Genomic DNA, 11,330 nt, shown 5'->3' on the forward strand with positions numbered 1-11,330 from the left:
CCATTCTTTTTCGAGTGGAAGCAAAAGACATGTAACTCCTGCAGGTAAAACTGTGACCAACACCATAAAACTGTGATCAACAAACATTTATTAAACTATACTATGAGGAAAACATGAAATATTAGAATAAAAGGTAGACAGTGATAATTAGTTTAAAGGACATGCAGAGATGGAGGTTTAGAAGAGACAGGAATTACAGTTGGGGAAGAGAACATGAAAGGCTTCCTGGAGAGCATGGTGTTTGCACTGGATCTTGGTAGTTTGGGAAAGGAAAGCAATCTAAGTGGAAGTTAGTATGAATGGAAGGAGTGGGGACCAGGTTACAGAAAGGAAATAGTAAGTGAGCTAGTTTGAATGGAAAACTTTTGAAGAAAAGAAGTGGAGAATAAGGCAAGAGAGGGTTAAGCTCCTTCTGGAAGATAGGGACCACATGTCTGACAAGATTGTTTTATGAGGGCTCGGTATATTCTTGGGGGCAAGCTCAATCTCACAAACCACAAGAGTAGATCAATATGCCAGAAAAATACATGCAGGACTTGGTGGTAATGGTAGTGGTAGTGGTGACAGTGGTGAAGGTGGTGGTGATATCACAGAAGTGATGCAGAGTGTGATGATCTGGTGACAGGGATGATAGAAGGGGAAGAGGATACTCAGCAGGAAAAGCAGGTTATTTGAAAGGAAATGGTAAACTCGCTTTTTTTTTTTTCGAGACAGAGTTTTGCTCTTGTTGCCCATGCTGGAGTGCAATGGCGCAATCTCAGCTCACTGCAACCTCTGCCTCCCAGGTTCGAGTAATTCTCCTGCCTCAGCCTCCCAAGTAGCTGGGATTACAGGCATGTGCCACCATGCCTGGCTAATTTTGTATTTTTAGTAGAGACGGGGTTTCTCCATGTTGGTCAGGCTGGTCTCAAACTCTGACCTCAGGTGATCTGCCCACCTCAGCCTCCCAAAGTGCTGTGATTACAGGTGTGAGCCACTGCACCTGGTCGGAAAACTCACTTTTTAAAAAATAACATTACATCATTGCTGAAAATCTATCCTAAGTCTACATAAGGAATGCAGCATCAACTATGGTATTAGGTATAAGGAGGGAAACCATGAAATTGCTAATTCAGTAGATTTCATAGTTAGCTAAGCTAATTAAAGAAGGCACTCTATTTAATTATTTAAATGATTAAATTAAATCACTCAATTTAATGAAGGTGATTAGGTCTTTTTCAAACAAAAGAAAACCCAGTTAAAAATAACTGAAATTGGTAACAAGAAAATAACCTAACATATATAATTAACCTGTAGAACTTAGCATCATAGGATTGAATTAATGATAGTATTTATTAAAGTAGAACTGTAAGATTATAAAAATACTTGGCACTTACATGAATAATCAATGTTATTAGTATCTAATATCCCCAGAGATAAATATCATTATCATTTGTTAATTTCACTTAAGTGCTGAAATATACATTCTATGGCTTGCCCAATGAATATGATACTTTTATATTTTATAGTCTTGAGTTAATTAGGAGTCACATAAATTCTGCAGTACAACATCATTGAAATAAATGGAATCAACATGACGACTAATCAGTGTTTTTGCTGCCAAGATGAGTGTTTTTTTTTTCAAAAATCCTCATTAATATTATATTAAGCAGGATTTCAGTGATCTTATGATAGCTTCCATTACTTCCCTAGGGAAACTGTTCTGTAAAATAACACTTGTTACTGTCTAACAACTTTTTTCTTTCTTTTTTTTTTTTTTTGAGACGGAGTCTCGCTCTGTCACCCAAGCTGGAGTGCAGTGGCGGGATCTCGGCTCACTGCAGCCTCTCCCTCCTGGGCTTAAGCAATTCTCCTGCCTCAGCCTCCCAAGTACTGGGATTACAGGCACGTGACACCGTGCCCAGCTAATTTTTGTATTTTTAGTAGAGACAGGGTTTCACCATGTTGCCCAGGCTGGACTTGAACTCCTGACCTCAGGTGATCCACTTGCCTCGGCCTCTCAAAGTGCTGGGATTACAGGCGTGAGTCACCGTGCCCTGCTCCAACTTTTCGTTGCTTGTAGTCTTCTTCTTTCTCTCTCTATGCATCAACCATATCTCACTACCAAATACACATTTTCAGAAAATGCAAAATTCTCATCCAAGTCTTAGATACATTTCCTCCTCCTAATAGTTGCGTCCCATATTTTGGAGTCCATTTCTCCTGCACCTTCTTACGTTTATGTATTAGTTTGACAAGTATTTTTGGAACAGCTACTTACCACACTGGCAGGTAGTTTGAAATGGCAGAGAGGACAATGGCTTTGGAATCTGATAAATTAAGGTTTGAACCCTGGCTATGGTACGTAACAGCTAGTGACCTTGAGCAAGTTGTTTCACCACCTTGAGCCTCAGCCATTATCTGTAAAAGGGATAGAAGGATGAAAATGCTTCCCTAGCAGGATCTTTATGAGGATGTGAGAGAATGTCTAGTATCTGGAACATGGCGGGCACTCACTCTGTGGCAAGTGCACTGGGCTACTTTAGTTTTGCACTACTGTGTCGTAGGAAAGAACACAGAGCAAAATATCTTTTAGCTCTTCCCCATTTTTGATGATTCTCCTTGTTTTCTATCTGTTTTACTTCTGGAATCTCATTTCATGCCTAACTAAACTCCAACTTTCCTTGGTTCCTCCTACCACTCCTGCCTATTTTCCAGAATGTTGTGTACTTGCATTGACCAACTAGGCTACATGGAGGACCATCAGTGAGTCTTCGGTGAGTTCAACATGATGCAGACTGTATTTTCTTGTCTTTTTCCCTCCAGGCTTAAAGGATATCATGACAGGAAAACAAAAACCTTATTTTATGCAATACTTTTGCTTATCTGATTTATAGGAAAGGAACTGTTTCATAAGAAGGGGCTTGCTTATAAGGGTACTAAAAGGCATGAATAGTATTTCTGGAATAGTAGAGACAATTTTTATCTGTTTGCTTTGTTGCTGACCACAAAACAGATAAAATATTATGAAACTACAACATTACATAAAATTTACCTGCTTGTTTTTCTCATTGCTAGCTTATATTTTTAGTACTTGGCTGTTGCTTTAGCCTTGGAAATATGTCAAATAGGTACTGTACCCAGATTTGAAAATGGGAGAAAAGGAGAGAATCTCCTTCTCCAGAACAGAGGAGGAGGGGGAGGAGAAGAGGGAGGGAGAGAGAGAAAGTGAAAGAAAGAGAGAGAGGACTCAGGTCATCAGGGAGCTAAGAATCAGCGAATCCACACATTTTACTGAGAAGTCAGAGTTTGCAAAGCACAGGGCATGGCACAGGAACTGAAATGAGCTTGATATCCAATGCCTGGTGTAGGACATTTACTCAATACATATCTGGTGACTGGCTAACAGCAGCTACTTGTTCTCTTCCGGGCCTCTGTATAGAAGAGACCCTTTCCTCCTGTTCCCTTTATTCTAAACTTATAGGGCAAGAACATCTACCTTGTTGGAACTATTGGGAAGAAATCTTCTCATTCTTTCACACATCCCTTTCTCCTGACTCCACCCATTTGCCCTTAAAGTAACAGGAACAATTTGCTGAGATAAGGCAGAGATAATGCACATCTTAGCATGTCCAGTTTATATATTCTGGGCTCTCTCTTTTTCAGCCAAGCCTACCTGGAGGGTTGGGCATATACTTATCCCCTCTTGTTCCTCCCATGTAAGGCACATCTTGGTCAGGGCCCAGCACCTACTACCTAAAGACAGGTTGGGGCCCATCTGAGCCTTGGGCCTTGATGGGCTCACTCCTGGCTGCAAACTTGGCCATGCTGCTTACAGATTCTCCATACAAGGCATTCTAGGTCTAGACTGGAAAAAAACTTGAAGGAAGCCCCTTTTTGATGAAGAGCCAAATCTTATTTTTCAGTCCAGGTTTACAACTAAAGTATAAGATATTTGGATTTCTATTCGGCTTTTGAAGTTTTTGTTCAATAGGTGTTACTCTTAGAGGGGGTTGGGGAATAAAGTGTGGGTAATGCCCTCTTTGCAAAATATATACCTTCAGAACTCTTGATCCCATAGTGAATTCACTAGGAAAGCTTGAAATCCAGGCACAAGGGCTAGCTTGCATAAAAACAACAACAGCAACAACAAAAGCACTTGGAGAGATCAAGGTTCAGCAGAGGTAGGAGGTCTGGGTGCTTATTAAAACACACTGTTGGACTCTTAAATGTAAAATTTCAATTTTATGAGGTTGTTTATTGAACACGATTATATACATGCATGACATTCGAAGTACGCTCTAGTTATACGAGGCTTGTTTAGATATATGGCAGCTCAGTGCTCCTCTACTCTCCTCTTTCTCTCCAATGGAAGCCACTTTTCAACTCATATAACTGGTTCTTTTGTTTTTTTGCCTCCAAATGACCAAAGAGCATACTTACTTCACTACTTCCTGGCTTTGAAGTTGTAGATATCGCTTATTTCTTTAGCCCTTATTTATTGACTTCCCATTTTTGAGAATGAGGATTTAGGTCTCTTTCACACCCCATCTTCCAGCATACAACCTCCCCACACCCCACTCTCCAAATATATTGTAATGTTGGTAAATTCAATCTTCAGGATTTTATCACTGTGATAGTGAAAACATGATTGGTAGCTGAGTTCTACAGTATAATGTAATTGATGTAATTGTTTCTTTTCTGTATTACTTTTTTGTATGTGTGGAGTCAATAATTGTCATTAGCTCAACGCCAAACTTATGCCTTCAGCACATCAATTATCCTATCAGTTTCTCTTTTTGAGGATGTCTTTCCTGGAGGTGGTTGACCTCTCCAGTATGAAGGAAGCCCCCTCATTTCTGGTGTTCCACTGTCATTATAATCCTCATCCCTCTTCACTATAAGCCCAGTGATTCTTTTTGCTGCTCTCATGTCGGATCTCCTCCTTCCTGGACATGGTGCCATCCTTGTTCTTCACATGAGGCACATCCTCTGTGAGATTCCCGCTTAGAACACTCAGTCTGGAGGAAGCTCAATTGCTCAGAATCTCAAGAAGGAAAAAGACTGATTTTTAAAATATGCTTTGGTTTTGATGTCTGAACAGGAGTAGAAAGAGACCAAAAGCTAACGGCACTCCAACCAGGCTGGAGTAAGAAAAGGATTTCTTTAGAAAAAAATCTGTTGTCTTGGAGATTAGGCCGGGCTAAACCTACCACCCATGTAAGCCTAAAGGAGGTACACTGCTTTTAAAGAAGCTTCATTGTCTGTCACTACATCAGAGAGTTTGACTGGTATCCAAGGAAATCTCATACAGGAGGGGAGGTAAGTTCTCAGATGATAAACGGAAATGATTTCCCCTGAGAGGATCTTATCCAGAGAACTATTCAGAGCCACTCTTTTGTTATTATTTTTTATTTGCATAAATTTAGGGGTACAGGTGTAGTTTTGATACATGAATACAGTGCATAGTGGTGAAGTCTGGGCTTTTAGTACAACCATTACCTGAATAGTGTACATTGTACCTGTTAAGTAATTTCCCATCCCTCACCCCCTCCCTCTCTCCCACCTTTCCAAATCTTCAGTGTCTATTATTCCACACTCTATGTCCATGTGTACACTTTATTTAGCTCCCACTCATAAGTGAGAACATTCAGTATTTGACATTTTGTTTCCGAGTTGTTTCACTTAGGATAATGGGCCTCTAGTTCCATCCATGTTGCCGCAACAGGCATAATTTCATTCCTTTTATGGCTGAGTCATAGTCCATCATATACATATACCACATTTTCTTACCAAATCACCTGTTAATAGACACTTAGGTTGATTCCATATCTTTGCTATTGTGAAGAGTACAGAGCCACTTTTTCAAAGCTTTGTTTGGAGTAATCACCCCTTCAACTCTGGGATGCTTATACCAAGTGGTTACATTTGAGGGAAGACTGGGATGATCAGGGGAGAACACACTAAGTATTATTAACACAGGAAAGCTTATAGGTGACAATTATTTTAGCTGACCAAACGAGTATGTCATATATGCAGAGAAAGCAAGTATGTTGTATACCCATGCCCAGGAAATTCATTGAGTTACAGAACTCTCAGAAAGAACATAGGGCAGATGAGACACAGCTATGGGGAAGCAGGGAGGACAGCAATATTTTGTTGAAACTATCTCCTGGAATTTCTCACTTTTCCCATAAAGGTGGAACCATTAAACAAACACTAAAAGCACTGGAGAGAACCCTACACTTTTCCTTCCATGGTCACTCATGACTCCTTCCTAAGGGAGGGATGACTTGTCCTTGTAAGAATGCATAGGCAGCATGTCTCCAAACCCTTCGAGTTGTCTTACTAAATAAGTGCAGCTTTTTATATGTTAGTCGTACCTTAATAAATTGTTTTTTTTAAACAAAAAAGTTTGCATATACAGCTCAGCTACTTCTGGAAGACCTGTTTTCTAGACAAGCCTCCCCAGAAGGCAAATGTGTCCTCCCCTAACACTTGCCCCTGACTTGATAAGGCTTCCTGGGGCAGGGTCTTGGGTCTGGAGACCTGTCTCCCTCTTTCCTTTTTTTTTTTTTTTTTGTAAGAGACAGGGTCTCACTGTTGTGCAGGCTGGCCTTAAACTCCTGGGCTCAAGCAATCCTCCTGCCCCAGCCTCCTGAGTAGGTGGGATTACAGGTACATATCACTGCACCTGGCTGTCCTCTTTCTTGAGTCTTGACATAAGAGAGGCTCACCAGGATTTGCTGGGCTGCAGACTGAGCAACTGTCTGATTTACAGACTCTCTCCTTAGCCAAGTCCCAAGGTCTAGATTGGGAGAAAGTTGAAGAAGCTTTGTTTTTATTGCAGACCCAAATCATATTCTTCAACCCTACTTTGGAGAGAAGAAAGCTTATATTTTAATCACTATCTGACTTTTTTGTCCATTACTCAAAGGGTTCAAAATCTGTGGGCACAAGAGGTGAGTAAGACTCCCACATCATGGAACATAGTCTAGCAGAGTTTAAGGCATTAATGTTGTGGTGGAAGAAATGGAAAATAGAAACAAAAATCACTTTTATAATATGGGTAGGAAATTCTTAAGTAAGAATGAAGAAAAATGGCTCAATTTCTTTCTATTCAACTTTGTTGAATTTATTGGGGTTGCGGTAGATTTAAATCCAGTTTTTCTTTTCCTTTATAATTTTTGGAAACCTGGAGACATTCCTACCCAGCAGTAATGTCATGAGTTACATTTTTACTAAGAATTTTAGAATTTTTAGATAAAACAAGCTGGAAGCTATTTGTTGAGCAACAATATTTTCAAGACAGTGTTAGACCCTGTAAGGAAATAAACATGTATGTAATAAAGACATTGCAATTTTTTCCATTTTGGGGTGGGGAACAGTGTCTCACTATGGTTGCCCAGGCTGACCTTGAACTCCTGGGGTCAAACTATCTTCTTGCCTCCGCATCCAAAAGTGCTGGGATTACAGAGATGAGCCTCTGTATCCCACAAGACATTGCATTTTTATCTACATGGCGAGCCTATTATTTGTTGAAAATTAGACATATTCCTATAATACAAGGAAGATATTATTTCAAAAGAGGTACATGGAGAGTTGAACAGACCTAACTAAAATAATAATAGATACCATTTATCGAATACTTACAGTGTGCTAGGCATTGTGTTATGCAGTGAATGAATTCACTCACTTAGTCCTCATAATCATCTGATGAGCTAGGTACTAGGGCTGTTAGTATTTTAAAGATGAGCAAAATAAGGCCAAGAGAGTTCAAATAAGTCAACCATGTTCATATAGCTGCTAAGTGGCAGAATCAAGAGGGACCCAGGCAGCTTAGCCCCAGAGCTACCACAGTTATGAAGGAGCTGACAACCAAAAGCCTTTATTTTCCCCAGAGATGAGTCTCTAGTTATAGAGCTCCCCTCCAAGTTAATATAAGAGTTACCTTTTTTGAGATGAAGTCTTGCTCTGTCACCAAGCTGGAGTGTAGTGACATGATCTCAACTCACTGCAACCTCTGCCTCCCAGGTTCAAGCAATTCTCCTGCCTCAGCCTCCCAAGTAGCTGGGACTACAGGTGCGCGCCAACATGCCCAGCTAATTTTTGTATTTTTAGTAGAGATGGGGTTTCACCATGTTGGCCAGGATGGTCTTGATCGCTTGACTTCATGATCCACCTGCCTCAGCCTTCCAAAGTGCTGGGATTACAGGTGTGAGCCACTGCACCTGGCCAAGAATTACCTTTTAAGAGTTGAGATTTTCCAAGCAATTTTACACTACTATATCTGGGTTATTCTCACTAAAAATAGCTATTTATGGCCGGGCACAGTGGCTCATGCCTGTAATCCCAGCTACTCGGGAGGCTATGGCAGGAGAATCGCTTGAGCCTGGGAGATGGAGGTTGTAGTGAGCTGAGATCGTGTCACTGCACTCCAGCCTGGCAGACAGAGCAAGACTCTGTCAAAAAAAAAAGGTATTTATGAAATCTTTATCTGAATTTAGAGAGTTTAGCCTGCCATCATGATTAAAAACTCAGAATAGCATTGCAAATAAACACACATGAAATATATGCATGTGTGTATATATGTATTATATTATATGTTATATGTATAGTTATACATATAATATATTACATTATACATATAATGTGTATGCACATCTTCACCTTTGAAAATCCCAAATGACTGAATTAATTATACCATATATTTTCTTCTTATTGCTGCTGTAACAAATTACCACAAACATAGTGGCTTAAAAAAACATCAATTTCTCTTACAGTTCTGAAGGTCACATTTTGAAATGGCTTTCATTGGGCTGAAATGAAGGTGTAGGCATGGCTGCATGACTTTCTGAAGGCCCTGTGGGAGAATCCATTTTCACGCCTTTCCCAGCTTCTAGAAGCTGATTGCATTCTTTGGCCCACGGGTCCCTTCCATCTTTGAAGCCAGCAATTGCTGTCAAATCTTTTTCCTCATGCTGTCTCCCTGGATCTGACTCTTTTGCTTCTCTGTCTCCCATTTAAAGCCCACTCAAATAATCCAGGATAATCTCAATATTTTAAAGTCAGCTGATAAGCAACCTGAACTCCACCTGAACTAACCATGTACTATTGCATATTTCTGGGGATTAGAACATGAACATTATTCTACCACCACAAACAGGAACTTTTCCTGCCCCTGAAATGTACTCGTTTTTGGAAAAAGCATGATGGTCTTTAACTTTACACAATGAAATGACCAATTTTACCATTTAGGACAGAAAGTCAAGGATAATTATATTGGTCCATTCTTGCAATGCTATAAAGAAATACCTGAGACTGGGTAATAAAGAAAAGAGGTTTAATTGGTTCACAAAAGAGGTTTAAGAGTTCTGCAAGCTGTATAGGAAGCATTGAGACAACCAGGTTGCGGGGGGACTCTGGAGAAACTCCAACCAGCCTGCCCACTGAGGTAGAGCCTCAGGAAGTTCACTCTCTACACGGGGGAGGAGCCTGGCCTCTCCTCTTCCTATGCAGAACCTGGGATTCAAATGGCAGGTGGGAAGCACTCTAACAGGGGACCCTGGCCTTGCAGAAGAAACCTGTTTCCCCCTTTGTTTCCTTTTACCCAATAAAACCCTGCTTTACTCACCCTTTAAACTGTCTGTGAGCCTAAATTTCTGTGGCCATGGGAAGGACAAGAACCCTGTCCTTGACTGAACTAAGGAAAAGTCCTGCAACATTTTTGGCGCCCAACGTGGGGCTCAAGAAGCTGTGAGTGAAATGGGCATTCAAAACCTCTCACTGTTGCTCCTAAGCATTTTCATCCTTGGACTTCTGAGGCTGGGGGAGACATGCCCCCAAACCCCATCACTCCTGGGAGTTAGGGGAAATGTCCTTTCCTTCCTTTTTTGATAAGGACAGGCAAGTAGGGGCTCCTTGCCACCCCTCCCCTCCAAGCGAGGGGTGGAACACATGGCCCAAGGGTCCTGTACAGTCAGCTGACTGGTTCCCAGCCACAAGCTGCCACAGCCTTCTCCTTCCTTGGCCAAGGGGTTCAGCTTTATTGGGCAGTAACTAAACTTTTCTCCTGATGGAGGAACCACTTGCCTAAGAATAAGAGGTTCTTCCCTAGGCATTTTTAAAGTGTTCTTTTTTCTTTTCCCTTCTCTACCCCATCAGCAGTTAATCTTTAAAGTTTTTTTCCCCTTTAAAAGACGTTCGATATCTGCCTGTTCTCCTAGCCCTGTCTCTTAAAAAACCCCATCTGGGGACTGGGTTTTCTTTTGCCTGTGTGTGTTTGTACTGTATGTGATGTCTGTAAAAAGAGTTCTAATTAACTTGGCCTAAAGAAAGAGAGGCACTTGGATCTAATATTTTTTAAAGGGAAGTTAAAAGCGGTGGAACCTTTCAGTTCACATGACTTTAATCTTTAAGAAATAAAAATAGCCTTAAAGACTATTGGTAAAATCCAGGTCAGATGCAAGGTTTGCTAACTGTCTTGAGGTTACAAACTGTCCTTTGGGTTTTGAGAACTATTTAACTTGCCAGCTTCACAGTTGGTAAGGCCTGGGGACATATGAAATTGGAACCATGCCCTTAACTAAGAACGCAAAGCTTGGCTGCAATTAGCACAAAATTAAAGCAACTTACCAAGTTTTACCTTAAAGTTAAAAATTGCTAGGAGTTAATTGAAACTACTAGAAATAGATTTACACAGAAGATGTGTAACAACAGTAAAATGTGATGTTTTTAGTAAAAGGTTATAAGAAGGCATGGAAATGTAAACTTTTGTTTAGGGTCAAAGGATTGTTTTAAATTAGATAGGAAAAAGCTGAAGGTTCAAAGAAATAATAGAAGCATTGTTGGGATAATCTTGCAGAAGAGGTTCTCTGTGTGAACATATTGACTAAATTAAAAAAGGATATTATATGGTTTTTCTGTAAATTGAGCATTGAAATAAAAGCATAACAAAGTTTTCCTAGGGTGCTAATATGATCTTTGGCAAAATTTGTAAAGGGTTATAAAAGCTTTATGCTTCTTTAAGATTTTTGAGTCATCATTTTGGCAAAATAAATAATTTATGGCAACCTGGAATTCTATTTCATAACTTTAAGTGTTTTAAACCTCGAACATTTAATGGCCTTCCCCAAATCAAATTTCAGTTTCAAAATTGTCTTTCCTGACACCTGGCTTTTCGGATAGTCCAGAGGGCCCCTGGAATGTCCAGAAAAGAGAGGTAAACAGGATTATTTGACTTGTTTAGGTACATGGAATTGCCCAAATGATGTTCAATCTTCTTTAGGTTATATCTTGGTAAACAATGCTAATATATGTTCCAAAGTTGTATGAGATTTCTAAAATTCAAA

Source organism: Homo sapiens, chromosome 13 (genome assembly GCF_000001405.40).
Source record: "Homo sapiens chromosome 13, GRCh38.p14 Primary Assembly".
Classification (NCBI taxonomy): Eukaryota; Metazoa; Chordata; class Mammalia; order Primates; family Hominidae; genus Homo; species Homo sapiens.